Consider the following 27,946-nt stretch of genomic DNA (forward strand, 5'->3'; position numbering starts at 1 on the left):
GGAGGCTGTAACTTGCGCAAGCGCACTCAGGCAGTCTCCGAGCCCGCGGGCGCAGGCGCGCTTACAGCCGACAGAGCGCTTCAGCCGCTTCCCTCGAGCCTGCAGTGCGCAAGCGCGGGACATCTCCGTTTCCCTCCCTCAGCCCCTTCCCCCCCTACCCCCCCGCCCCGGCCTCCTTTCCCCTTCACGAAGCCGGCTCTGGGGCGCGCTCACCCCTGTGAGGAGGCCGGAGGTCGGACTCAGGAGGCTCCTTCTCCACTCCCGGAAGATCATGTACCAGCCCAGCCGGGGTGCGGCCCGGCGTCTCGGCCCTTGCCTGCGCGCCTACCAGGCTCGACCCCAGGTGAGCGGAGGAGAAGAGGGAGGGAGGAGAGGGGGCGGGGAGAGACCCTCCTCAAAGCCGGTGCGTGGGGCGGAGCGCGCGCTGGGTTCCGCGCAGGCGCAGAGACACCCGCCGCCCCTTCCCACCTGTGCCCTGCAGCGCGTGGACAGGCTAGGGGTCGCGGGAGCGGGAGGGAGGCGCTGCCGGGCCTGTCGCGCAAGGACGTCGGTCCTCCCAGGTTTGAGGGCGGTCAGGCGGGGTCAAGGCCAGGCAGCGGGGCGCGTCTGCGTTGCGCCCGACTCTCCGCGGTTACCTGTGCCTAGAGGTGATTTGAAGGGCAGGGGCCGAGAGATTCGTAGCCCTGCTGCGGCGCCGTCCCGGAGTTCCCCGGCCCAGACCAGACCCGCGGGGCGCCCTCAGCAGCCCGCCCGTCTTGCACTCGGAGAGCGGTCCTGGCAGGAAGGCCGGCCAGTGTGCACCCGGTTCGGGCCCCTGCGCCCGGGCTGGCAAGATGGCCACGCCCCCAGCAGAGACGGCGCCTCTAGGACACCATCGGGGACCGAGGTACCCGAGCGGTCCGCCCGCCTTCCCTGCAGTGAGACGATCCCCTGGGGGGTTCCTTGGGAGCGGAGGGACTCGGGTGAGGCCTAACTTTGGGTGACCTCCCCTTGCAGTTTCAACGTCGGTAAACCCAGGAGAGTGAAGGCCAGCCTTTAACTGTCTCCTGAGGTTGTGTCTGTCATTAGAGGGGCCCGAAATGATAATAGCTTCCATTTATGTACTGCTTTCTAGGTCGCTACGTTTTGTTTACATTCATTATTTCATATAGGCCTCATAACCCAGTGAGGCTTTATTGTTCTCATTTATAGGACATTTGTAGGAAGCGGAGGCATAGGGAATGAGAATGCCTAAAGTTACATGATAGAATTCAGATTCCTAGCTTCAGCTGGATATTCTTTTTTCTCTGTACATTTGCCTCGCACACTTAATCATGGAGATGTACAGGCCACAGCATTTAATCCACAGTACAATAAAACCTGTTATTCGTTAACTCATCAAGTATGTATTACATGATTCTTGCGATAAGAGAGGTGAAACTGCCCCCAGTGTTGGAATCTTTTTTTTTTTTTTTTTGAAATGGAGTCTTGCTCCGTCACCCAGGCTGAAGTGCATTGGCACCATCTCGGCTCACTGCAATCTCCGTCTCCTGGGTTCAAGCAATTCTCCTTCCTCAGCCTCCCGAGTAGCTGGGACTACAGGCTCCCGCCACCACACCCGGCTAATTGTTTTGTATCTTTAGTAGAGATGGGGTGTCACCATATTGGCCAGGCTGGTCTCGAACTCCTAGACCTCGTGATCCGCCCGCCTCGGCTTCCCAAAGTGCTGGGATTACAGGCGTGAGCCACCGCGCCCGGCCACATTTCTTTAAGATTCCAACACTGGGCCGGGCACGGTGGCTCACGCCTGTAATCCCAGCACTTTGGGAGGCCGAGGTGGGCGGATTACCTGAGGTCAGGAGTTCGAGAACAGCCTGGCCAACATGGTGAAACCCCATCTGTAACTAAAAATACAAAAATTAGCCGGGCGTGGTGAAGGGTGCCTGTAATCCCAGCTACTCGGGAGGCTGAGGCAGGAGAATGGCTTGAACCCAGGAGGCGGCGGTTGCAGTGACCCGAGTTCGCGCCAATGCACTCCAGCCTGGGCGACGGTGAGACTTCGTCTCAAAAAAAGAAAAAAAAGTAAAATGTCTGCTAGGTTTTGGGAGGTGCCGGTATTTATGTCACATAAAACAGTTTGCTCGGCTGGGCGCGGTGGCCCACGCCTGTAATCCCAGCACTTTAGGAGGCAGAGGCGGGTGGATCACGAGGTCAAGAGATGAAAACCATCCTGGCTAACATGGTGAAATCCTGTCTCTACTAAAAATACAAAAACTAGCTGGGCATGGTGGCGCGCGCCTGTAGTCCCAGCTACTCAGGAGGCTGAGGCAGGAAAATCACTTGAACCCGGGAGGCGGAGGTTGCAGTGAGCTGAGATCGTGCTACTGCACTCCAGCCTGGCAACAGAGCGAGACTCCATCTCAAAATAAATAATAAAATAAAATGGTTTCCTCCTGTTTTCAGTAGAGATGGAGATGAATCCATCCCTTTTTTCCTATAGTAATTCCATCCATTCTGTCAGGAGGAATAGGTATTGGAAGCCTGTTGAGCATCCAGGGGATCAAGGGGTGTTAGACAAGTGGATTCTTATCTTTCTCCCTTCTGTTCTTTCTCCTTAGGACCAGCTTTATCCAGGGACTCTACCATTCCCACCCCTTTGGCCCCACTCCACGACAACCACTTCCCCATCTTCTCCTCTATTCTGGTCTCCCCTGCCCCCACGCCTTCCCACCCAGCGTCTTCCCCAGGTTCCCCCACTACCTCTCCCTCAGATCCAGGCCCTCAGCTCAGCATGGGTGGTTCTCCCTCCAGGAAAGGGGGAGGAGGGACCAGGACCTGAGTTGCATAGCGGCTGCCTGGATGGGCTTAGAAGCCTTTTTGAGGGACCTCCCTGCCCCTATCCTGGGGCTTGGATACCTTTCCAAGTCCCTGGAACTGCCCACCCTTCCCCTGCCACCCCGTCAGGAGATCCTAGTATGGAGGAACATCTGTCTGTCATGTATGAGAGACTGAGACAAGAGGTAAGTCAGTGCAAAAGTGGCCTTCGTCTACAGTGGGAAGGATGTGGGTAATCCTTGGACGTACAGGGATAGTCAACTGGATTCTTTTTTGGAACCATGAGGCAGGCATAGAAATATATTATAAACATTTTCCTGAGAAAATGATGTTCCAGCCAGGCACGGTGGCTCAAAGTGCTGTAATCCCAGCACTTTGGGAGGCTTAGGCAGGTGGATCACCTGAGGTCAGGAGTTCAAGACCAGCCTGGCCAACATGGTGAAACCCCATCTCTACTAAAAACACAAAAATCAGCCAGGCATGGTGGCAGACGCCTATAATCCCAGCTACTCAGGAGGCTGAGGCAGGAGAATCGCTTGAACCCAGGAGGCGCAGTGAAAGGAGATATCTCCATTGTACTCCAGCCTAGGCAACAGAGCGAGACTCCGTCTCAAAAAAAAAAAAAAGAAAGAAAATGATGTTCCTCATTTTGGGTTAAGGGAGGTTAATCATGGGATGAGATCTTTCACTCCAAGATGGGAGTAAGGAGGCCTTAAAAATAGAAAACTGGGCCTGGCACATGGCTCACGCTTATAATCCTAGCACTTTGGGAGGCCGAGGCAGGCGGATCACAAGGTCAGGAGTTCAAGACCAGCCTGGCCAACACAGTGAAACCCCGTCTCTACTAAAAATACAAAAATTAGCTGGGCATGGTGGTGGGTGCCTGTAATCCCAGCTACTCGGGAGGCTGAGGCAGGAGAATCGCTTGAACCTGGGAGGCGGAGGTTGCAGTGAGCCGAGATTGTACCTCTGCACTCCAGCCTGGGCGACAGAGCTAGACTCCATCTCAAGCCTGTAATCCCAGCTACTCGGGAGGCTGAGGCAGGAGAATCGCTTGAACCTAGGAGGCGGAGGTTGCAGTGAGCTGAGATTGTACCTCTGTACTCCAGCCTGGGCGACAGAGCTAGACTCCGTCTCAAAAAAAAAAAAAAATTAGAAAACTGAAAAATAGGATTATCTTTTCTTTCCCACTGGGTTGATGCCATCTTCTTCCACCTAGCTTCCCAAGCTCTTCCTTCAGTCCCACGACTACAGTCTGTATTCCTTGGATGTGGAATTCATCAATGAGATCCTCAACATACGTACCAAGTGAGAATTGGGGCACAGGTAGGGCACTGGGGAGGAAAAGCACCCAAAGGTATATACATGACCCTTTTCACTTCCCAGAGAAGTTCCTAGACTGCTTCTCACAGCTGTTCCCCATTCCTTAGAAGCCAGTTTGGTTTTCTAATTCTGCCATCATGAGATTTCTTTCCCATCCCTTCTTCACAGGGGCCGGACATGGTACATTCTTTCACTGACCCTCTGCCGTTTCCTGGCCTGGAATTATTTTGCACACCTTCGTTTGGAGGTTTTACAGCTGACCCGCCACCCTGAGAACTGGACCCTGCAAGCCCGGTGGCGGCTTGTGGGGCTGCCCGTCCACTTGCTCTTTTTGCGGTTCTACAAGCGTGACAAAGACGAGCATTACCGGTAAGAGAGAAATGAGAAAGGACCCAAACTATAATCAGTTCCTTTTTTTTTTTTTTTTGAGACGGAGTCTCACTCTGTCACCCAGGATGGAGTGCAGTGGCGTGATCTCAGCTCACTGCAGCCTCTGCCTCCCGGCTTCCAGCAATTCTCCAGCCTCAGCCTCCTGGGTAGCTGGAATTACAGGCACACCATCACACCCGGCTAATTTTTGTATTTTTAGTAGACAGAGGGTTTCACCATGTTGGCCAGGCTGGTCTCGAACTCCTCACCTTAGGTGATCCACCTGCCTTAGCTTCCCAAAGTGCTGAGATTACAGATGATCTAGTCTCCCAGACAACCCTTGACCTATCCTCACTTGACTGTTTAAGGACAGGGATCCTGTTTAGTTTATGTTAATGTTAAAAAAAAAATAGAGACTGGGTATATTAGAAAAACCTCTGAGCTTCAGTTTCTTCCTATACAGTGCCTAGCACATGGTAGGTACTCAAATACTTACTGAACAGACTGGGTGTGGTGGCTCATGCCTGTAATGCCAGCACTTTGGGAGGCCGAGGTGGGCGGATCACTTGAGGTAAGGAGTTGGAGACCTGCCTGGCCAACATGGTAAAACCCAAAAAAATACAAAAATTAGCCCAGTGTGGTGGTACACACCTGTAGTTCCAGCTACTTGGGAGGCTGAGATGAGAGAATCACTTCAACCTGGGAGGTTGAGGTTGCAGTGAGCCGTGATCACATTACTGGACTCCAGCCTGGGTGACAGAGTGAAACCCTGTCACACACACACACACACACACACACACACACACACACACACACAAAAGTACTGAACAAATGAAAAGTCCTGTCTCATATGTTGAGCCTTACAACCTGGTAAATTTCCGCCTGGGAGTAGAATCCCAATAAATTGTTAGACTCAGCCACAAACATTGGATATAAGTTTTTAAACCAGCAGTTCCCAAACTGCTGCACAGTAGAAATGCCCAAGGATCGTTAAAAAATATTGACGCCAAACACTCTGATTTAATTGAGACAGGGCACAACCTAAGCACTGAGATGTTTGTAAGTTGCCCAGGTGATCTAATATGTAGCAGAATTTAGGGACTACTCGTTTAAACAAATGCTTGAATTCAGCTTTGGGACCAGTCACCTTCTCCCTCAGTAAGCCTCCCTCTATTCCCCAGGACCTATGATGCCTACTCCACTTTCTACCTGAATTCCAGTGGCCTCATTTGTCGCCATCGTCTAGATAAAGTGAGTCCTAGGTAGGGCTGGGTGGGGTAAAGGGTAGAACATTTGTGTGCCTCCCCCAACTGGCATTAACCTTTCTCCCTGCAGCTGATGCCTTCACACTCACCTCCAACGCCTGTGAAGAAGCTGCTAGTGGGAGCCCTGGTGGCCCTGGGGCTGTCAGAGCCAGAACCTGACTTAAACCTGTGTTCCAAGCCCTGATCCTTGACCTTGGAGTGGAGGCAGCACTGAAGACTGCTACGCCCAAGAGAAGGAGGTGGAGGCAGCCAAGAATCTCAGGAGCCAGCTTCCTCTCCTCGTTTCTCTCCTTCCTTCCTTTCCATCTCATGCTGTGTAAAGCTGCTGTGTAATTTAACTTGTAAATAATAAAGTTTAACTGACTATATGAGATAGAATTTCACATATCACTTTCTCTAGATCCCAAATGTTCCCACAAGCTTTATTCCAAAAATAATTTTATTTAATAGGTATTAAATAATGTATAGAAGGAAAAGGAGCTGGTGTCAGGTTCTGTTTACGTCCTTCTCTTACCCTAGCTCTTCTCGTGTTTTGCCTATTTTTTTGGGCATTTTCTTAGCATGGGGATCTTCTAGCTCCTTGGCCTTATAATAATGGGGAGCCACCTCCAGAAGCCAACTGCTCTCAATCTCCAGTACCTAGGAGAGAGAAAAGATCAATGGAGTTCCCTTCTTTCCAACATAGATCTTTTGTTGTTGTTATTTTTTTTTCTTAAATTGAAACAGAGTCTTGCTCTATTGCCCAGGCTGGACTGCAGTGGCGTATCATGGCTCAAAGCAGTCCTACTGCCTCAGCCTCCCAAGTAGCTGAGACTACAGGCACACATCACAGTGCACCATTAATTTTTTGTATAGTTGGGGTCTCACTATGTTGCCTGGGCTGATCTTGGCCTCCCAAAGTGCTGGGATGGTTTACAAAAATGAGCCACTATGCCCAGCCCCAACCTAGATCCTTATGTGTATGGTCAAAAGTTATCTTTCCTCTTTGACTGCAGGGCTAGGTGTAAAGGTGCCTGGCTCTATTATTATATACCCAAAGGGCAGATACACCTCTGTATGTTATTCAAGATACCAAATAAGCTATTCCCAAGAAAAGTCTAGAACAACATGCCAGGCACAGTGGCTCACACCTGTAATCCCAACACTTTGGGAGGCCGTGGCAGGCGGATCATGAGGTCAGGAGTTCGAGATCAGCCTGGCCAACATGGTGAAACCCAGTCTCTACTAAAAATATAAAATTAGCTGGGCGTGGTGGTGGGCACCTGTAATCCCAGCTACACTGGAGGCTGAGGCAGGGGAATCACTTGAAACCGAAGGCGGAGGTTGCATGAGCTGAGATGGTGCCACTGCACTCCAGCCTGGGCTACAACAGCACGGAACTCTCAAAAAAAAGAAAAGCCTAGAACATAAAGACTATACTCTGTGAGACCAGAGACTGCTTTGTTCATTATAGCCCCAGCACCTATACAGTAGCCATTCAAATATTTATTGAATAAGTGTCTAGTTCTCAGATCTTGGAAGATGCTGACACACCTGTTAGAAAGGATGTCTTTGGGCTGGGCATGGTGGCTCACACCTGTAATCCCTGCACTTTGGGAGGCCGAGGCAGGCATTTGAGACCAGCCTGGCCAACATGGTGAAACCTCATCTCTACTAAAAATAACAAAAATTAGCCAGGCCTGGAGGCTTGCGCCTGTAATCTCAGCTACTTGGGAGGCTGAGGCATGAGAATCTCTTGAACCCCAGAGGCAGAGGTTGCAGTGAGGCTAGATTGCGCCACTGCACTCCAGCCTGGACAACAGAGTGAGACTCCGTCTCAAAAAAAACAAAAAAAAACAAAGGATGTCTTTCTATTTTACCCTACCTTCCTCTTTCTGTACCAGTCCCAGCAACTTGAACCTGGGTTCTTAGCTTGCCAGGACACCATCTCTCTACATAGTCTCCACCTGCGTGGGCACAGGATGTTCTCCTCACCTGTCTCATGAACTCTTTGGTGGTCAAGACAAGTTCGTGGTAGAGCAGCCAGCGTGGCTGTTGCTCAAAGAGGGAGGAGTTGGGATGAATGAAGACTGTCTGCTGCTGTTTCACTGTGCGGTAGCCACTCCGAGTCAACCGTGCCGTGTGGTAAAAGTAACCAGCAGTGATGGCCTAAGGAGCGGGCAGGAAAGAAAATCAATGGAAAAGGCAGACATCTGGGGACCCTAAGAATGCACTACCTTTTTAGTTCAGGCTTCAGGAAAACTAGAGAGGTAAGGAATGCATGAAGAACTTCCCAGGAATGAACCTTCAGTGGTCTGGGGAAGAAAGGGCCCTGGGAGGACACGTCATACACAAGGGGAAGAGGGCATGCTCTCACGCTGGAGGAAATGCTGCATGCCCCCAGAGAAGCTTGCTCCTGGGAAGGTACTGGGGGTGGAAAGCAGGAGGCTGAAGAAATGCTGACCTTGCGTACACGGATATAGTCCCCCTGGCAGGAACTGAGACCAACTTCCACACGTTCCAAGAGCCCTTCCAGCTGTTCCCGCACATCCCGGGCTCGGCGCATCGATCTGAACTGTACAAAGTTCTCATAGCACCACTGGGAAGAGTAACCACTCTCAGCCCACTGGGAAGACAGTTAAAAAGAAAGGAGAGATAATTAAGTATACAGCAGGACTAAAGTCCCCCAGTGTCTCTCATTCCCACTCACCCAAGCCCAGTGACCTGTGTGTAAACATTTAGCAGAACCAGGTGGTCACCGCCAGGGAGAAAGAAGTTGACACGGGCATTGTCAGCATGGACGACCTTGTCCTTTGGTCGGTAGAAGATGGAGTTGTTGACAGAGAGCATGGCAGCCACTGTCAGGATCTCCTCTGAACAGCTGTACCTGGGACAGGAAGGGGAAAGCATGAGTTCAAAGCAAGACACATAGGAACAGATATGGTGGAGTGGGGAGTGATCACTGTGTGATGGATGTTTCCTCATGTGGGGAAGGCTGGTTGGCATAATGGCTACAAAGCAGCCAGCAGATAGATTCTGGCAGCAGCTTGGGGGTCAAGGAAGTAGGGGCCATAGATGAAACACAGTCACAAAGGAGGGACATCCATGGAGGCAGGAGCAGGAAACACCGGGGAATTCTGAGGCTTCTGCAGAAAGTGTGCATTCACTATGTGCATTTGGAAAAGATCTCTGACAGCAGAGGAATGGCATTTAAAGGTCATCCCTCCACAGCTACATCTAAATGTTCTAGTTGGAAACCTTAGGAACAAGTAAGTTCCTCAAGGGGCCGGGCGCAGTGGAATCAAGGATAGGATCAAGTGTCTTACCCTTGTGGGCCTCAAAAGGGGGCAATCAGAGTTATCTAATACTTTATTATGTGTTAAGGGATAGTATGATGAACAGAAAAAGACAGACAAAGGGGACCCTGGAGACAGAGGAGGCCTGGCCTGTTTGTGTGCTGGGGGCCCAGGTGGAGGCGAGGGCTTACTTCTCAGAGGCTAAGATCATTTTGGACAGCATGGGGTCCACCGGCAGCTCTGCCATCTTTCGACCAGACTAAGGAGAAGAGAGAGAGAGTTGAGCCCAGTCCTCCCTCAGGTTTCCCGCTACTACTACAGGGGTCCCTGGAGCCATCCTGACCCCTATCATCCTGCCTCCACCCATGCTGTCCCCCGACTCACCGTGGTGAGCTCCCCAAGGTGGTTGAGGGCTCCCAGAGCATACAGCTGCTCCAAAGCCAGCAGCAGTGTCTCATATGGTGGAGGGTCCAGGAAATCAAAGTGCATTAGGTCATGGATCCCTAGAAAGAGGTGTGATGGATGGAACAGAGTCCCTTCAAAGGACAGTGACTCCAGCCCCTCCCTCCTCTCTCAGGTAGCCCAATCACCTAAGCTCTTGAGCAGCAACACGACATTGCCCAAGCTGGTCCTCTGGATCTCAGGCACTGTGGTTTCCTCAAGCTCGTGCTGATAGGCCCAGGCGGTATACAGGCGGAAGCACTTCCCTGCAGCCACCCGACCTGCCCTGCCAGCTCGCTGATTGGCTGAGGCCTGGAAAGAAAGGGGAACAGGCTGGCTGACAATTTGGTCAGGGAAAAGAAAAAGGCAGTATTTATGCAAGAAATCTGGAAGGATGCAAACTGCTCATCCCGGTTCCCTAGGAAGCCCCCACCCTGCTTCTGAGTTGGACCTTCTCTGTGGGCCAACTCCACCTCCCCCACTCCCATGCATCCCCAGGCTGACCTTGCTGCAGGGTGTGACAGTGAGCGATTCCATGCCTGTGCGGGGGTTGTAGCTCTTCTGCTTACAGAACCCTGGATCCAGCACATAAATGATGCCCTCAATGGTGAGTGATGTCTCAGCAATGTTCGTTGCCACAACCACCTGAGTGATAGGATATGGGGTCACCCAGTGACCCCACCTACCTAGTTACCCAGAAAAAGTAATCTTGGAAAGTTAGGAGTAGTGAAGCAGTTGCAGTAAGGGGCAGGAGCTGAGGGAATTAGTAGTATCCAAGGTCAGGAGCAGGGGACAAGGCCAGAAGACAGGGGACAGGGAAGTGGGGGCTGGGAGTCAGCAGGGCCATAGGAGGAAAGGAAATGGAGAAGAGGATTTAGGGTTTTTTTTTTTTTTCAGAGATGGGAAATGGGGGTGTTCAAGTTCCTGCCCGATCCTCCCCATCACCGCTTTCGTCTTCACACAACACTTCCTGTAAGAGCCTCCTAACGTGTATCCCTGCTTCTGCTCCTAGCCTCTGTCACATGGCATCCAGGATGGTCCTTTTAAAATACAAACCTGTCACATCACTCCCCATCCTTCAGTGGCTTCCTATCCTACTCTAGAATTCAATCCAAGCCCCTTAAAAGCCTGGATCACCTACCCCAGCTGCCTTTCTGACCTCATCTGCTAGCACTCCACCACCTCCCTCACTCCTCCCACACACTGCTTTGCTCTGCCCAAGTAAGTGCACTCCTCACTGGATCATTTGCATCAGCTATTCCCTCTGTCTGGCATACTCTTCTCCCAGATATCAGCCTGGCTCCCTCCCTCACCTGGTTTGGGTCTCTATTCCACTTTCCCCTTACTGAAGAGGCCCTCCCTACACCCCAAGGAAAATACCTTCATGCCAGTCCTCACTCCCACCCCACAGAGTCAAGTTCCATCCTACTATGCTGCCTTGTATCTCTTCATAGCACTGGCCACAAATTGACAATATGTATTTATGCATCCACTGCTTCCCCGATAGACCACAAGTGCAAGTTTGTTAGGCTAAGGACTTTGTTTTGTTCATCACTGTATCATCAACCCCTGTGTACCTGACACACAGAAGGAACTCATTAAATATTTGTTGAATGAAAGTTATATCTCTGCTCAAAATCCTTTGACTGCTACTCAGCTGTCTAAAGTCCAAACTTCGCCAAGCACAGTGGCTCATGCCTGTAACCCAGCACTTTGAGAGGCCAAGGCAGGCGGATCACTTGAGTCCAGGAGTTCAAGACCAGCCTGGCCAACATGGCGAAACCCCATCTCTACTAAAAATTAGCTGGGTGTTGGCCAGGCATGGTGGCTCACGCCTATAATCCCAGCACTTTGGGAGGCCAAGGTGGGCAGATCACCTGAGGTCAGGAGTTTGAGACCAACCTGGCCAAAATAGCGAAACCTCATCTCTACTAAAAATACAAAAAATTGGCCAGGCGTGGTGGAGGGCACCTGTAATCCCAGCTACTGGGGGGCTGAGACAGGAGAATCGCTTGAACCTGTGAGGCAGAGGTTGCAGTGAGCAGAGTTGGTGCCACTGCACTCCAGCCTGGGCGACAGAGTGAGACTCCATCTCAAAAAAAAAAAAAAAAAAATTAGCTTGGGGTGGTGGTACACACCTGTAATCCCAGCTACTTGGGAAGCTGAGGCACAAGAATCACTTGAGCCTGGGAGGTGGAGGCTGCAGTGAGCCGAGATCTTGCCACTGCACTCCAGCCTGGGCAACAGAGCGAGACTCTGTCTCAAAAAAGAAAAATAAATAAAGTCCAAACTTTCCTGTCATCAAAGGCCCTCCCTAATCTTAGCCCCAAATTGTTTTTAGCCTTGTCTCCTACTCCTTCACCACATGAACCTCCCACTAAGCCTACTAGCTCACACTCTGACCTCAAACATACCTTGGGCCTTCCTCTGATGACTTCTCAGCCATTTTTCTTTTTTGAGATGGAGTCTCGCATTGTCACCCAGGCTGGAGTGCAGTGGCACAATCTCAGCTCACTGCAACCTCCTCCTCCTGGGTTCAAGCGATTCTCATGACTCAGCCTCCTAAACAGGTGGGATTATAGGCGCACGCCACCATGCCCTGCTGATTTTTGTATTTTCAGTGGAGGCAGGGTTTCACCACGTTAGGCAGCCTGGTTTCGAACTACTGACCTCAAGTGATCCGCCCACCTCAGCCTCCGAAAGTCCTGGGATTACAGGCGTGAGCCACCGCACCTGACCTCAGACATTTCTCTTAAAGGTCCATATCAAATCCCACCTCTTAGCACATCAAGGACTTCCCTTCTCCACTGAATCTACTGTGCATACTTTCCAGATCACATATTTGGCTCTCTCTTGGTTCACACCATATTTCTCCTCTCTTCAGTCCCAGGAACAAGGGACTGGCTGCTCCTCAGCTGTGTGCAGCAGTGCGCAGGACTCACCTTGCATGGGGCAGGCACACAGCTTTTTCACTACTAGTTGTGGGAAGCATAGGGGTGAAGAGTGTGGGTTTCTCCAACTGACCTTTCGTGCCCCAGGTGGTGTGGGCTGGAAGATACGGGCCTGCATGTCAGAGGGCAGATTGGCATAAATGGGCAGCACCAGGAGCTCCCGGATTTTGGAGCCCAGGCGGCGGCAGCGATCCTGGAGCATCTCACAGGCAGCCTCAATCTCCTCCTGGATAGAGGGTAGGGAGAGCAGCAGGGGTCCCAGAGTCACAGAAGGCCAACATGCCGGCCCTGTCTTCCCCTGGGATACATCATCCCCTCTCCCCACCATGTCAGGCACCTGTCCTGTCAGGAACACCAGGATATCCCCAGGGGGCTGGGTCACATGGATCTGCAACACAGATACTACACAAGCTTCCAAGTAGTCAGCCTCTGGAGCCTGGAGAGCAGAAAGAGATGGGGTCACAGGAGGGCCACCTGCTTAGGCAAACCTTTCCTCTCCTCCCAATTCAACATACACTTTATCCTAGTTCCCCTTTGAACCTTCCATTCCATCTTTCCCTCCACAGGATAACCTTCTCCAAAGGCCTCAGCTTTTCTGCCACAGACTTAAGCCCATCCTCCCTGAGGGGGCACCTTGGTGTAGAAGATGTCCACAGGAAACCTGCGTCCGGGGATTCGAAACACAGGGGCGTCATCAAAGAAGGTGGAAAAACGGGCAGTGTCCATTGTGGCTGAAGCCACCAGGACCTTGAGCTCAGGTCGGAAGCGAGCAACATCCTTGATCAATCCAAAGAGAATGTCTGTGTGTAGGGTCCTTTCGTGTGCCTCATCCACCATCACCACGCTGGGGAGGGAATAGGAGAGCAATGAGGGAAGAGCGCTAGGCAATGCAGTATCAGACACCAGAGTTAACTGGATGAGAGGGGAGTAATGGACACAAAGAGTTCAAGAATGACTGTTGACGGAGGGGGCTCTAAGGAGAAGTCAGCCATCCCACTTATGTAGAGCAACAGAAAGTCAGAGAAGGCCAGGGCCCCATGATCTGCAACCTATCCCAGCCTCAGCAGATAATAGGAGACAAGATGTAGAGGCTGCACACTGAGGCCAGGACAAGTTAGCCATACCCTCTAGTTCAGTCAAGAGTCTGCTTAGACTCAGCAGCTGCTCTTACTAGAAAAAGTTGAAGGATATGTTTTAGGCTGGGCATGGTGGTAGCTCACGCCTGTAATCCCAGCACCTTGGGAGGCCGAGGCAGGTGGATCACAAGGTCAGGAGTTCGAGACCAGTCTGGCCAATACAGTGAAACCCCGTCTCTTCTAAAAATACAAAAAAAATTAGCCAGATGTGGTGGTAGACGCCTGTAGTCCCAGCTACTTGGGAGGCTGAGGCAGGAGAATCGCTTGAACCTGGGAGGCAGAGGTTGCAGTGAGCCAAGATCGTGCCACTGCACTCCAGCCTGGGTGACAGAGCGAGACTCCATCTAAAAAAAGAAAAAAGAAAAAGTGGAAGGATTTTTTTTTTGAGACAGTCTTGCTCTGTTGCAGGCTGGAGTGTAGTGGCATGATCTCAGCTCACTGCAAGCTCCGCCTCCTGGGTTCACACCATTCTCCTGCCTCAGCCTCCCAAGTAGCTGGGACTACAGGTGCCTGCCACTGTGCCTGGCTAATTTTTTGTATTTTTAGTAGAGACGGAGTTTTGAAACAGAGTCTCACTCTGTCGCCCAGGCTGGAGTACAGTGGCACGATCTCGGCTCACCGCAAGCTCCGCCTCCTGGGTTGCGTTCACGCCATTCTCCTGCCTCAGCCTCCTGAGTAGCTGGGACTACAGGTGCCCGCCACCACGCCCAGCTAATTTTTTATATTTTTTAGTAGAGACGGGGTTTCACCGTGTTAGCCAGGATGGTCTTGATCTCCTTACCTCGTGATCCGCCTGCCTCTGCCTCCCAAAGTGCTGGGATTACAGGCGTGAGCCACCGCTCCCGGCTGATACGTTTTAAAGGAAAAAAAAAGTGGAAGGCAGGGTCCCTTTCAATAAGGGTGGGCCAGCAAGGCTGACTGGGGGTAATAGACCTGAGCTGCTGTGATTCAAATAGCCTAGAAGCTCCTGGTGTCCTGTGGGACAACTGCTGCTGGCATCATTCTTGACTGTTTCTTCTTTTGGAGACAGGAGCAAGTTAAGCCTTTCTACCTCAACTCTCACAGGACTCTGCATGCTCCTTGGTTTCCTCCTAACTCAGTTATGTGCATGACACCTTCTTTCTCTTTGTTCTTTGGCTTTTCTGGGTGGCAGCCAAGTCCCAGGAACTCATCCCCATCTTCCCCTACCCACCTCCCTGACCTCAACTCTTTGTGCCTAACCCTAACTGTGATGGTGAAGTCCCCAGCCATTCCACAAAGCAGGCTGGCTCGATGGGCAAAAACATCTGCATCAGACACTCTTGCGCTGGCTGGCTCTCCATGGGTTCTTAGAGATCTTTTGCAAGGGATATGAAGGATAAAATCCTATCTGTCCAATTGCTCCACTGTGATCTTCCAAGACCAGAAATTCACAGCCTCTGAAGAGTCAAAAAGGCACATATTGTTCAGCTGGCCTGACCCCACCCCCATTACATTCATGAATCCCTTTTCCCCCTCAACACATGTTCAACCAACCCCTGCTTGGCCATTTCCAGCACTAAGAGCTCATTATTCACAGACCAAGCTACCCAAGACTTGTGTGGAGGGCCAAGACCCAGAGTCCAACCACTCTGACAGGCCCTGCAATCTCCACCACTCTGAGGGTTACTCAGCCATTGGTATTGAGTTGGAATCTGTCTCCCTGTAACCTCCCCATGGCTCCTAGCTATGTCGTGTAGGGTCACATAAAACAATCTGATCCTTCTTTCCATGTAACAGCCTTCACATATTTAGAGGGAACCAGGATGCTTCCTGTTTCTCCCTCTGAGCTGAGCATTCCAAGTGTTTTCAAATGGTCTTCACACGGTATTTCAAGTCTCGGCAGCAATGCTCTGCTATCCTGGTTGTTTTCTAAACCCTGGAGATGAATGGGGAAAGAAGAGGCTTTCTCTACAATCTCTTCTGTCCTCCAGCCCCATCTCCGTGGTACCTGGAGGTCAGTTCAAGGACCATTTGAACCACAAAGATTCAAGAACGGGTGGATTAATCAGAAGACAATGGCTGAATTGGCTGGGTGGGAAGAAGGGAGAGAAAGGCCAGAGATTAGAGATACCTGTAACTCGCCAGGTCAGGCTCAGAGAGGAACTCCCGGAGAAGCATCCCATCTGTCATGTAGCGGAGGACAGTTCGCTCTGATGTGCAGTCCTCAAAGCGGATGCTGTAGCCAACCTGGTCAAGGGAACCATTAGCAACCAAGTGTGGGCTGGTGTGCCCTGAAAGGAACTTGGGGAAAGGTGAAGTGGGGCAGCACCAAGACTTCTGCTGTAGGGACCTGAGGGAACTGTAGACTGAGTCACAGACCCCAGACTCTACCCCCCGGTTCCCTAGAAATCTCACCTCATTCCCAAGCTTCACACCCATCTCCCGGGCCACTCGGGCGGCCACACTCATGGCAGCCACTCTCCGGGGTTGGGTGCAGGCAATCTTCATACCCTTGTTTGTATAACCCTGAATGACAAAGAAAAAAGAAGAAGTTTGCCCTTTACTAAATATGCACCCTGGGACCAGGTACATTTCAGAGAAAGAAGTTGTAAAAACCAGGCAGGAGAAAAGGAGGAAAAGACAGATGCTGAAAACCAGAAAAGAAGGGCAAATAGATAGGATGACAGACCTAGGGCCCTCAAAGGGGGTCCTCACCCAGCTCTGGGTAATTAAGTTCATGACTCTGCTAGACTTGAGCTGGAAAAGAACAGATTAGCTGAGACAGAGCCAGCTAAGGTAAAAAAGCAGGAAGGCTGGGCACAGTGGCTCATGCCTGTAATCCTAGTACTTTGGGAGGCTGAGGTGGGAGGATGGCTTGAGCTCAGGAGTTCGAGACCAGCCTGGGCAACATAGTGTGACAAAAAAATTAAAAATTCAAAATTTTGACCAGGCACAGTGGCTCACACCTGCAATTCCAGCACTTTGGGAGGCCGAGGCAGACGGATCTCCTGAGGTTGGGAGTTCGAGACCAGCCTGGCCAAAATGGTGAAACCCCGTCTACTAAAAATACAAAAAATTAGCCGAGCATGGTGGTGCATGCCTGTATTTCCAGCTACTTGGGAGGCTGAGGCAGGAGAGTCGCTTGAACCTGGGAGACAGAGGTTGCAGTAAGCCAAGATCATGCCACCGCACTCCAGCCTGGGCAACAGAGCAAGACTCTGTCTCAAAAAAAAAAAAAAAAAAATTTCAGGCCAGGCACAGTGGCTAACACCTGTAACTCCAGCACTTTGGGAGGCTGAGGTGGGCAGATCACGAGGTCAGGAGATTGAGACCATCCTGGCCAACATGGTGAAACCCCATCTCTACTAAAAATACAAAAATTAGCTGGGTGTGGTGGTACGCACCTGTAGTCCCAGCTACTTAGGAGGCTGAGGCAGGAGAATCACTTGAACCCAGGAGGTGGAGGTTGCAGTGAGTCAAGATCGCGCCACTGCACTCCAGCCTGGTGACAGAGCAAGACTCCACCTCAAAAAAAAACAAAAAATGTTTAATATGGGCATGGTGGTGTGCACCTCCCAGATACTCAGGAGGCTGAGGTGGGATGATCTCTTGAGCCCAGGAGTCCCAGGTTGCAGTGAGTCATGATGGTGCCACATCACTCCAGCTTGGGCATCAGAGCAAGAGCCTGTCTCCAAAATAAGGCAGGGGCTAGGCACAGTGGCTCACACCTGTAATCCCAGCACTTTGGGAGGCTGAGGTGGCTGGATCACTTGAGGTCAGGAGTTCGAGAGCAGCCTGGCCAACATGGTGAAACCCCATCTCTACTAAAAAATTAGCCAGGTGTGGTGGCGCATGCCTGTAATTCCAGCTACTCTGAAGGCTGACGCAGGAGAATTCCTTGAACCCAGGAGTCAGAGGTTGCAGTAAGCCAAGATCGCACCACTGCACTCCAGCCTGGGTGACAGAGCAAGACTCCGTCTCCAAAAAAAAAAAAAAAAAACTAACAAAAAGGCAGGAAAATAGTCCTTTAACTCCTTGTTTTTTGGCCACGTTGGAGCATAGGGAGGTCCACATTTATACACGCCCCACTCCACCTATCCATCTACCCGTCCTTCCAAATGAAATGAATGCAGGAAGTGAGAACAGAAATGTGAAAAGGGTATGGTCTTTACTCTCAAGAATTTCACAATTTAGTGGAAAAGATAGGTAAGTGACTACTAAAAATATAATGTAAAAGGAGCTCTGACAGGAATGAGGACATTGATGCCAGGTGCCCTGGCAAGCTGAAGGGTGAGATGACTGTACCTCCTCAAAGAGATACTGCGGGATCTGGGTGGTCTTCCCTGAGCCTGTCTCGCCTTCAATGATGAGGACTTGGTGATTTGCAATAGCAGCCAGGAGCTCCTCTCGAAATGGGAACACCGGGAGGCTGCGGCGGACGGCCTGGATGGACTCTTTCTGCTGGGCCTGAGTTGAAGTGGGTGGAGCTGACGGCTCCTAAGGAAAGAGAAGGAGGTGTGAGCTAAATAGCTCGCTACGGGTCTTCCTCAGAAAGTCTCCCAGCTCCCCTCTTACCTCATCACCCTGGAGCTGAGTGGCCCGGACAAACTCAATGGTCTCCTCCTCCTCCAGCACCAGTTGATACTTGGGCTCCTGAGAGGCAGCATCTCGGGCCCCAAACTTCAGGGACGCTGCCCCAAGCCGCGCCTCCTCCCAGCGCCGCTGCTCCTCCCCAGGGGCTCCTGATTCCTCCTCCACTAGATCCACAGCTCGGGCTGGCTACAGAGAGAGGGGATATGTGAAGACTCAAAAACAGGATGTCCTCTCTGCCCTCTCCCCTCTTCCCATTACTACCCCCGCCCACTGCCCATTGGGAACGGCAAGGCAAGAAAGGGGATGACCCACGTGTTGCCCAATCCCCTGAAGCCTTCCCCACAACTTGTCTTGGGGACCAAGGCTGAAGCAGACGCCGCTTCACCTCACCTGTCCTCGGGTTTCCTTGGGCATGTGGTAGCGATTGGTGGCCTCCAGCTTCTCCTGCTCCCCAGCTGCCCGGTACTCCCGGGCGAGATCCCGCACTCGCCGCTTATATTTGAGCTCCTGCCGCTCGTGCCGGCTCAGCTCCACGTCCCCAAAAAGGAACTCCTCATCAGCCAGCTCCGCCTCCAGGTCCTCAAGCTTCTCTCGCTCCCGCTTAGCCAGGTACTCTCGGCGAGATTTCTTCCGCAGCTCAGGGACCTGAGTTGGGAAAGGACAGTCGAATCCTCATCTTGCTGGAGGAGCAACCCCTTTCTCTACCAATCCCTACAAGGGAAAAATCCCCTGACAGGCAGGCATGAGAACCTCAGGATGCACCCTCTACCTTCCCTCTGCAATGCACAACCAAAACAATGACATACTCAAATCTGGGCCTCTTTGGATGCTACATGCTGACCCCACATCGTATCTTCCTGCAGCAGAATCCAGCTGGAAAGTCCTCTTAGGCAGCATTATCATCTTTGTTAATATAGATGCACTAGGGAGATGTCTGCGTAGCTTATATTTTACTCTTGCCATTTTATTCAAATTAGTGGAAAGGGGGAAAATAAAAGGCTAATCCAGCATTTAGAAGCACAGGACTCAAACCGAAAACAATTCAGACAAAGATAGAAACCAGTGAGGGGGCCAACAGGAGGCAATCTTCAGCCCCAGTTAGATGTTCTTTGGTCTTAAACGGAATGACTGTAGTTTGAGGAAGGGAGAAAAACTGATTATAAAAAGTTAGGACTACAGCATCAGAGTGTTTCTGTAAGGCAAATGTAATCAGGGATGTTTGGCTTTCTGGTACTAACCTCTCTTCACCATGCTGTGTCTCACTTAGTTTCTACACATTTACCTTTGATACAAACTTTTCAGGACACATTATGGATGACAGCAGAAAACTGGCAATATCTATAAGGCCCTTTCCTGCCAGGAGTCCTCCCACTATGACATCATCCTCTCTGTGATCACAACTTCCTCTACTGCAAGGTCAAAGCCCCTCTGGTGGCTGGGTGGGCGTGGTGACTCACACCTGTAATCCCAGCACTTTGAAAGGCTGAGGTGGGTGGATCACCTAAGGTCAGGAGTTAGAGACCAGCCTGGCCAACATGGTGAAATCCCGTCTCTACTGAAAATACAAAAATTAGCTGGGCATGGTAGTGGGCACCTGTAATCCCAGCTACTCGGGAGGCTGAGGCAGGAGAATCATTTGAACCCGGGAGACGGAGGTTGCAGTGAGCTTAGCTCACGCCATTGCACTCCAGCCTGAGCAACAAGAACAAAACTGCATCTTTAAAAAAAAAGCCCCTCTGCTGTTCTACCCTTAAGGGGCCTGGTTCTATTTAGTTGTTTGGCTTTTCTTGTTTGTTCTGTAAAGACTTAAAATGCAGTTTATGATCATGACCTAATCTGGGTACCACAGTCAAATATTCCTTCCATGGAAGAGCCAGATAGATTTTTTTTTTAATATGGGCAAAAAATCAGAGCCATTTGAGCATTAAAAAGAATAATGATGTGAGATTATAAAATACTGAAAAATAAAAATTCATGAGTCCAATTTGACACACACAAACAAAAAACAAGGGAAAAAAATCTGTCACCAGTGAAATGACTGTTACAGCAAACGCCTTACTCTAAAAATTCGTATTTAAAAGGAAACAAACATTTACCCTTTTTAAGAAGGAACTGTAGCTTGTTCCTAGTTGTTGAGGAAAAGCTCTTCTTTATAGACAAATTCTAGCCAATACACGTAACAGGAATGACAGAATCAAAAAATCACCATTTCGGCCGGGCGCGGTGGCTCACGCCTGTAATCCCAGCACTTTGGGAGGCTGAGGCAAGAGGATCACGAAGTCAGGAGATCGAGACCATCCTGGCTAACATGGTGAGACCCCATCTCTACTAAAAATACAAAAAATTAGCCGGGCGTGGCAGCAGGCGCCTGTAGTTCTAGCTGCTCAGGAGGCTGAGGCAGGAGAATGGCATGAACCCGGAAGGCAGAGCTTGCAGTGAGCCGAGATCGCACCGTTGCACTCCAGCCTGGGCGACAGAGCGAGACTCTGTCTCAAAAAAAAAAAAAAAAAATCACCATTTTGCAATCCCCAATAAAAATAACATGTTCAGGAAAGGATTACCAGTGGCTTCTAAAAGCATTTGATGAAAGGCTATTGGTAGAAAGGATATTAATACTAATATATAGATACACAACTGGATAGTATGTCCCCGTGATATGACATAATATGAAGTGCACATCACCGCCCAAGAAGTGTTCCTGCCACAACTGTTTAATCTGAGTGTCAATAAGCTTTAGACCCAATTCCTGCTTCAAAGAAAGCACAGGGCAGAGAAGTACTTAACACCACAAGATAAGAATCAGGCAAATCCAGAATGTAGGACACTGCAAGGTGAGACAGACAGAGAGAGAAACAAACTTAACATCTAAGACCCAAATGCAATGCATGAACCTTGACTGCATTCTTGTTAGGAAAAAGCAGTCATTAAAGTTATTTTGAGGGTAATGAGGGTATCTTTTATTGTAGAGAGATCTTAGTCGATACATAAGAATTACTGTTCAACTTCCTGACTGTGACAAGAGCATTCTGATTTTAGAGGACAATATCTTTATCCTTAGCAGGTACACACTGATGTACTTAGAGATAAAACGCCATGATGTCTAAGACTCTTTTAAATGGTCTGAAAAGAAAAAACATACCACATTTACAATTACAATGCAAATACTACCCATAGTATTAACCATTTTTCAATCTGAATAGTGTCTATGAGTGTTCTTTGTTCTATTCTTTCAACTTCCCTATGTGCTTAAATATTTTTGTAATCGAAAAAGAAAAATTACAGCTGGGCACAGTGGCTCACGCCTGTAATCTTAACATTTTGGGAGACCGAGGGGGGTGGATCGCCAAAGGTCAGGAGTTTGAGATCAGACTGGCCAACATGGTGAAACCCTATCTCTACTAAACATACAAAAATCAGCCAGGCATGCTAGTGCATGTCTGTAGTCCCAGCTGCTCGGGAGGTTGAGGCAGGAGAATCACTTGAACCCGGGAGGCGGAGGTTGCAGTGAGCCGAGATCATGCCACTGCACTCCAGCCTGGGCGACAGAATGAGATTCTGTCTCAAAAAAAACCCGAAAAATTAAATTCAGGCCAAAACAGTAACACCACTACCACCACAACTGCACTGAGATGTCCCAGAAGCCTAACCACAGTCAATTTCAGGAAGAGATATGAGATAAATTGGTCAGGAGAGACCTGGGAACCAGTAGGCCATTCTTAGAACTCCAAAAGTTGGCCGGGCACGTGGTGACTCACGCCTATAATCCCAGCACTTTGGGAGGCCGAGGCAGGTGGATCACCTGAGGTCAGGAGTTCAAGACCAGCCTGACCAACATGGAGAAACCCCATCTCTACTAAAAATACAAAATTAGCCAGGCGAGGTGGCTCATGCCTGTAATCCCAGCTACTCTGGAGGCTGAGGCAGGAGAATCGCTTGAACTCGGGAGGTGGAAGTTGCAGTGAGCCAAGATCACGCCACTGCACTTCAGCCTGAGCAACAAGTGCAAAACTCTGTTTCAAAAAAATAAATAAATGAATTTTAAAAAGTAAAAACGGCCAGGCGTAGTGGCTCATGCCTATAATCCCAACACTTTGGGAGGCCAAGGCGGGCAGATCACAAGGTCAAGAGATCAAGACCATCCTGGCCAACATGATGAAATCTCCTCTACTAAAAATACAAAAAATTAGCCGAGTGTGGTACTGCAGGCCTGTAGTCCCAGCTACTCAGGAGGCTGAGGCAGGAGAATCGCTTGATTCCTCCACCAGGGAGGCACAGGTTGTAGTGAGCTGAGATCGCACCACCACACTCCAGCCTGGCAACAGAGTGAGACTCCATCTCAAAAATAAATAAATAAAAATAAAAAATAAAACAAAACAAATAAAAAGAAGGCTGGGCATGGTGGCTCACGCCTGTAATTCCAGCTCTCTGGGAGGCCAAAGCAGGTGGATCACAAGGTCAGGGGTTCGAGACCACCCTGGCCAACATGGTGAAACCCCGTCTCTACTAAAGGTACAAAAAATTAGCCAGGCGTGGTGGTGTGCGCCTGTAATCCCAGCTACTCAGGAGGCGGAGGTTGCAGTGAGCCGAGATCGCATCATTGCACTCCAGCCTCGGTGACAGGGCAAGACCCCGTTTCAAAAAAAAGAAAAAAGGTTTAAAAAAAAAAAAAAAAAAAAAAAGGAACTTCAAGAGTCTCAAAATTCTATTGGGGTATTGGGGAATCTAAGTGTGACTTTACTTGACAAGACCAGGCCTTTGGAAAACAGCTTACCCTACCTAGTTTCACACCATAAAAAGTCCAGTTTATGAATTACAAGGGCTCTGTCCCTGTCCAGTGAGAAGACACAGGGAGATCACAAAGCCACATAAGGGGTGCAGGAATTAGGTGGTGGGAAGGTATTTGGAGATGGTGTGCCTAAGCTGAATGGTCAGCACATCCCTGTACAGTGGGACTGCTGCCCTGCCCTTGCCCTCCAGCAACCTTCTTGACAACATTCCAGCTGCCTCATATCTCATTAGGACTCAGGAATAGGGAAAGCTCACAATTTCATTCACTAATAGAGTATATTTGATCCTAAAGTTAAGAGTCAAGGAGGACTTATGGGTAGCCTCCTTCCCCCTACAACTTAAGAAGGATCCTTCCCTCAACAACATAAGTCTATCCTCAGCTGGCTCCTAACAACCAAGCCCCTCTTCTAGAAACCTGACCACCCCATCAGCATCCACACTGTGCTTCCTCTGTATCCTCTCTCCCTATACACTCTATCAGAAAGTCTTTCCTTTTGTCTTCTGATCTTGGCTCCCTAGGCCCTGGGACTCACCATGGCCTTCCGGTCTTCCTCGGCCATCTTGAGGCGCTTCTGAGCCTCTTCATAAGCCTAGAAGAAAAAACAAGAATGGAGGGGTGTGAGGCCAAAGAGCCCCCACACTGACAGCTGCTCCCCTCTAGAATCACAAGGATCATTCAGATGCGCCCTAACACAAAAAATGTCCCCTCTCAGTGAGGAATCTCTCTGATTGCAGGTACAGCAGACAGTTGTCTTAGCCACAGGATGCACAGGGCTTCTCTCACCACAGAGGTGAACATCTCACTAGAGACAGCCCCTTGTCTTCCCAGAGATCACTATCTCTGCACTCACAGCCAACCTCAGATTTCACCCTGGGATCTTGGGGATTTACAGAACATGCTGCTCCTATTCACCTTCTTGTCTGACCGTTCCAGGACATTTCGAGTCCGATCCTTGTCCCGCTGTCGAACCCGCTCAGCAAAGGCATCACGCTCCTCCAGGTCCTGAAGGCGTTCACGCTCTGTCCGTTCCCACTCATCTTCCGACTCTGGCTTCTCTGTCTGCTGTTTACTCCCCCTGCAGCCCATCCAGGGGATTAAATAAGGGCATAGAGAACACTTCAGCCTGCCCCATCCTCTCTCACCCTGCTTCTGACTTACCCTGTTTTCTTCTTCCCTTTCTCAGAAGCCTCTTCCTCCTCTTCTTCCTCACGCTTCTTCCTGAGGTGTTTCCGCTTTTTACGTTTCTTCTGGAGGCTGCTTCCAGCCCTACTCACAGTCTCCTCACTGCTCTCTTCACTGTCTTCCAGTAACCTATAAGATCGGTTCTTCTCCAGCAGGGCCCGGGCCTCTCGCTCTGCTGCCCGAGCTGGCTTTTCTACCACTGCCTTTCGTGGTACCTGTCAGTAGAGGGGAAGATAAGGAGGTCTGAGCAACTCCTGATCTCTGCCCTCCCACTTAGCTCTGTTCCTAATTTAAGCAATTACTTAGTCTTTCCTGCCCCCGCGGCCCGGCCCCACTGTCAGGCAATGGCGTGATCTCGGCTCACTTCAACCTCCGCCTCCCAGGTTCAAGCAATTCTCCTGCCTCAGCCTCCCAAGTAGCTGAGATTACAGGCACATGCCACCACGCCCGACTATTTTTGTATTTTTAGTAGAGATGAGGTTTCACCATGTTGGCCAGGCTGGTCTCAAACTCCTGACCTCATGATCCACTCACCTCAGCCTCCCAAAGTGCTGGGATTACAGGCATGAGCCACCACACCCGGGCACAATTACTTAGTTTTAAACCAGCTAACCAGCATTCATTCTCTTTCTTCCTCATGGCTTCACCCCATCTTCATCATCCTGAATGGGGTTTTTTATTTTTTTTTACAGACAGGGTTTCACTCTGTCCCTCTTGGGCTCAAGGGATCCTCCCACCTCAGGCTCCTAAGTAGCTAGAAACACAGGTGCACACTACCACGCTCAACTAATTTTTAATTTTTTTGTAGGACGAAGGTTTCGCCATGTTGCCCAGGCTGGTCTCGAACTCCTGGGCTCAAGTAATCCTCCTGCCTCAGCCTCCCGGGGTGCTGGGATTACAGGTGTGAGCCACTGCACCCGGCCCCCTCTGTTAATTAAACGACTGAAAGGAAGTTCAGAAGATGAGGGGGGCCGGGCATGGTGGCTCACGCCTGTAATCTCAGCACTCTGAGGGGGCTGAGAGAGGATTGCTTGAGCTGAGGAGTTAGAGACCAGCCTGCGCAACACACCAAGGCCTCATCTCTAAAAATAAAAATAAAAATAAAAGATATTAGCCGGGGGTGGTGGCGCGCGCCCGTAGTCCCAGCTACCGGGGAAGATGAGGTGGGAGGGTCGCTTCAACCAGGGAGGTCGACGCTGTAGTGAGCCGTGATCTTACGACCGCACTCCAGCCTGGGCGACGGGGCGAGCGAGACTGTGTCTCTCAAAAAAAAAAAAAAGAAAGAAAGAAATGCAGAAACTAAGATCCCTACTGAATCGCAATCTGCATTTTAACAAGAACCTTGGATGCATGTTAAGAGTTCGAGAAACACCGTTCTATTGCGCTTAACCCGACACACCTAAGCCCTCCTCAATCTTCTCCACTGAGCTGGGCGTCCAGCAGCTAGCACAGTACCTACGCGACAACGGACAAAGAATAAGTGCTTGTGAACTGAGCTTTCTTAACTTCTCGATGGACCGTTAGGCCAGCCTCACCGGGACAAATCACAGGGCCCCTCCCCACCCCTGCCGACACCTTGTTCCAGAGTCTCAGGGCGAAGTCCCGGGCCGGCCCACTGAGATCCAAGGTATCAGTGTCTCGTAGGCGCTGCACGAACTCCTCGGCAGAGGTGCAGCGCTGTGCGGTACCGATCAGAAACTGGGCGACGTGCCGCTCGCTCAGCCCCAACACCGAGTGCAGCTCGTCCTGAACCCAGCGCTCCAGACCCGCCGGCGTCGCCATGGCGACTCACGCTCCCTGCTCCCGGCCCTGAAGCGTCGGGCAGCCGCGCTCACTGCTGGGCCGGTCAGAGGCCTGGAGCCCTCGGCTGGAGCCTCAGCTTCGCAAGTCAGCTACCTTGGGACCTCTAGGATCTTCCGACATCCCAAAGCTGTCTTCCCGTACCGCGGAGCCCGGAAGGGGCTGTACTTTTTCGGCCTCTAAGCACTACGGTGGCCGAGCGAGTTCAAACCTCGCGGAACCATACCTGAAAACTCGGGGTAATTCTTTTTTCTTCATTTCGCCTCTGTCCAGTTTCTCTGACGCCCCCTGATGGTCAGTCTGTGAGTGCTTCGCTCACGCATTCATTCAACAAGTGAAATTAATTTAATGGATGCCTAATGTGTGCTCATTGCTTTCCGTCCCTGGGATATAGCAGAGGACAAATCAAAAGTTCCTTACCAAATTTACATTTTGCGGTGGGGGAGGGACAGGATACATAATAAAGAAAGTATGGAAATTTTATAGAGCCAAAAACTATACAAAGTAAGGGAGGAATGAAATTCTATTTCAGATTGGAAGATCGGGTCCATGCTCATAAAACATATTAGCATTGTTGGCCGGGCGCGGTGGCTCATGCCTGTAATCCCAGCACTTTGGGAGGCCAAGGCGGGCGGATTATCTGAGGTCAGGAGTTCGAGACCAGCCTGGCCAAGATGGCGAAACCCTGTCTCTACTAAAAATATAAAAATTAGCCTGGCGTGGTGGTGTGCGCCTGTAGTCCCAGCCACTCGGGAGGCTGAGGCAGGAGAATCATTTGAACATGGGAAGCAGAGTTTGCAGTGAGCCGAGATCCCACCACGGCACTCCAGCCTGAGCAACAGAGGAAGTCTCTGTCTCAAACAAACAAAAAAGTGACCGTTGCTAGGACTGGTTTGCCTGCAGCAGGAGTGAAGACAGGTCAGGTATAAGGGAAGACCTCTAGGCAGGAAGAAACTGGGGAACTGGGGAAAGTTGTTAAAGACAAAATCTCCAAACTAAGGAACAGGCAAACTGTGTTCTGCATTTTTGCTTAACAGCTTGAGAAAATCACTGGTGGCTGCTTATTTAAAAGTAAGCAAGGCCAGGTGCAGTGGCTCTTGCTGTAATCCCAGCACTTTGGGAGGCTGAGGCAGGAGGATATCTTGAGACCAGGGGTTTGAGACCAGCCTGGGCAACAGGGTGAGACCCCACCATCTCTACAAAAAATTAGCCAGGTGTGGAGGTGTGCACCTGTAGTCCCAGCTACTCTGGAGACTGAGACAGGAGAATTTTTTTTTTTTTTTTTGGAGACAGAGTCTCGCTCTGTTGCCCAGACTGGAGTGCAATGGCACGATCTCGGCTCACTGCAACTTCCGCCTCCCAGGTTCAAGTGATTCTCCTGCCTCAGCCTCCTGAGTAGCTGGAATTACAAGTGTGACAAGCACATGCCATCACGCCCAGCTAGTTTTTGTATTTTTAATACAGATGGGGTTTTACCATGTTGGTCAGGCTGGTCTCAAACTCCTGACCTCATGATCCGCCCGTCTCGGCCTCCCAAAGTGCTGGGATTACAGGCGTGAGCCACCGCACTGGGCCTGAGACAGGAGAATCTCTTGAGCCCAGGAGCCAGAGGTTGCAGTGAGCCGAGGTCAGGCACTCCAACCTAGGCAACAGACCAAGACTATGCTCAAAAAAAAAAAACAAACAAAACAAAAAGCTGAATTTGTTACTCGATGCTCTGCTGTCTGATTTGTTTGATCCTGCATCATACTTTTGTGATTAATTGCAGTTACCAGGCACTACTGTTAGGAAATGAAACATTGTTCTTATTAATAGCCACAAGTGGATCTACATCACTGACTTTTTTTTTTTTTTTTTTGGAAAGGGAGTCTCGGAGTCTCACTCTGTCGCCCAGGCTGGAATGCAGTGGCGTGATCTTGGCTCACTGCAGCCTCCACCTCCTGGGTTCAAGCAATTCTCCTGCCTCAGCCTCCTGAGTAGGCGGGACTACAGGTGCGTGCCACCACGTCCAGCTAATTTTTTGTATTTTAGTAGAGACGGGGTTTCA

General features: G+C 50.5%; 2 protein-coding genes across 11 annotated transcripts, besides 2 other annotated features; one reads left to right on the forward strand and one right to left on the reverse strand.

Annotated features, from left to right (window-relative positions):
* The first annotated feature begins 172 nt into the window (after positions 1 to 172).
* On the forward strand, positions 173 to 6,247 carry C6orf136 (chromosome 6 open reading frame 136). Of its 5 annotated transcripts, XM_011514384.3 has the most exons (7): positions 173 to 343; positions 646 to 886; positions 2,598 to 2,999; positions 4,034 to 4,122; positions 4,306 to 4,506; positions 5,688 to 5,757; positions 5,842 to 6,247. In XM_011514384.3, exons 3-7 carry the CDS (start codon positions 2,955 to 2,957, stop codon positions 5,953 to 5,955), a joined length of 519 nt encoding a protein of 172 aa, XP_011512686.1. In that variant the 5' UTR covers positions 173 to 343; positions 646 to 886; positions 2,598 to 2,954; the 3' UTR covers positions 5,956 to 6,247. The 5 variants fall into 5 exon arrangements, with proteins under 5 accessions (XP_011512686.1, NP_001154848.1, NP_001103408.1 ...); NM_001161376.2 differs by having other exon boundaries at positions 173 to 886; NM_001109938.3 differs by lacking the exon at positions 646 to 886.
* Positions 6,167 to 26,046, reverse strand: DHX16 (DEAH-box helicase 16). 6 transcript variants are annotated; one of them, NM_001363515.2, is made up of 21 exons: positions 25,675 to 26,046; positions 24,076 to 24,314; positions 23,830 to 23,992; positions 23,450 to 23,506; positions 18,519 to 18,773; positions 18,111 to 18,314; positions 17,841 to 18,032; positions 15,951 to 16,061; positions 15,667 to 15,782; positions 14,796 to 15,471; positions 13,072 to 13,282; positions 12,776 to 12,874; positions 12,512 to 12,664; positions 9,992 to 10,132; positions 9,637 to 9,799; positions 9,431 to 9,549; positions 9,238 to 9,305; positions 8,475 to 8,637; positions 8,215 to 8,376; positions 7,746 to 7,919; positions 6,167 to 6,410 (listed from the first exon to the last, which is right to left on the reverse strand). In NM_001363515.2, the coding sequence occupies exons 10-21, from the start codon at positions 14,894 to 14,896 to the stop codon at positions 6,282 to 6,284; spliced, it is 1,683 nt and encodes a 560-aa protein (NP_001350444.1). In that variant the 5' UTR covers positions 14,897 to 15,471; positions 15,667 to 15,782; positions 15,951 to 16,061; positions 17,841 to 18,032; positions 18,111 to 18,314; positions 18,519 to 18,773; positions 23,450 to 23,506; positions 23,830 to 23,992; positions 24,076 to 24,314; positions 25,675 to 26,046; the 3' UTR covers positions 6,167 to 6,281. The 6 variants fall into 6 exon arrangements, with proteins under 6 accessions (NP_001350444.1, NP_001157711.1, NP_003578.2 ...); NM_001164239.2 differs by lacking the exon at positions 14,796 to 15,471 and having other exon boundaries at positions 25,996 to 26,046; NM_003587.5 differs by lacking the exon at positions 14,796 to 15,471.
* Positions 23,967 to 24,565: an enhancer, noted in NCBI's record as "H3K4me1 hESC enhancer chr6:30638704-30639302 (GRCh37/hg19 assembly coordinates)". NCBI's record gives its function as "activates a minimal SCP1, AML or CMV promoter by ChIP-STARR-seq in primed H9 embryonic stem cells {active_cell/tissue: H9 hESC(primed)}" and the evidence as "EXISTENCE:reporter gene assay evidence [ECO:0000049][PMID:30033119]".
* Positions 25,761 to 26,357: an enhancer, noted in NCBI's record as "H3K27ac hESC enhancer chr6:30640498-30641094 (GRCh37/hg19 assembly coordinates)". NCBI's record gives its function as "activates a minimal SCP1, AML or CMV promoter by ChIP-STARR-seq in primed H9 embryonic stem cells {active_cell/tissue: H9 hESC(primed)}" and the evidence as "EXISTENCE:reporter gene assay evidence [ECO:0000049][PMID:30033119]".

The sequence above is a fragment of the Homo sapiens genome, chromosome 6 (genome assembly GCF_000001405.40).
Source record: "Homo sapiens chromosome 6, GRCh38.p14 Primary Assembly".
NCBI lineage: Eukaryota > Metazoa > Chordata > Mammalia > Primates > Hominidae > Homo > Homo sapiens.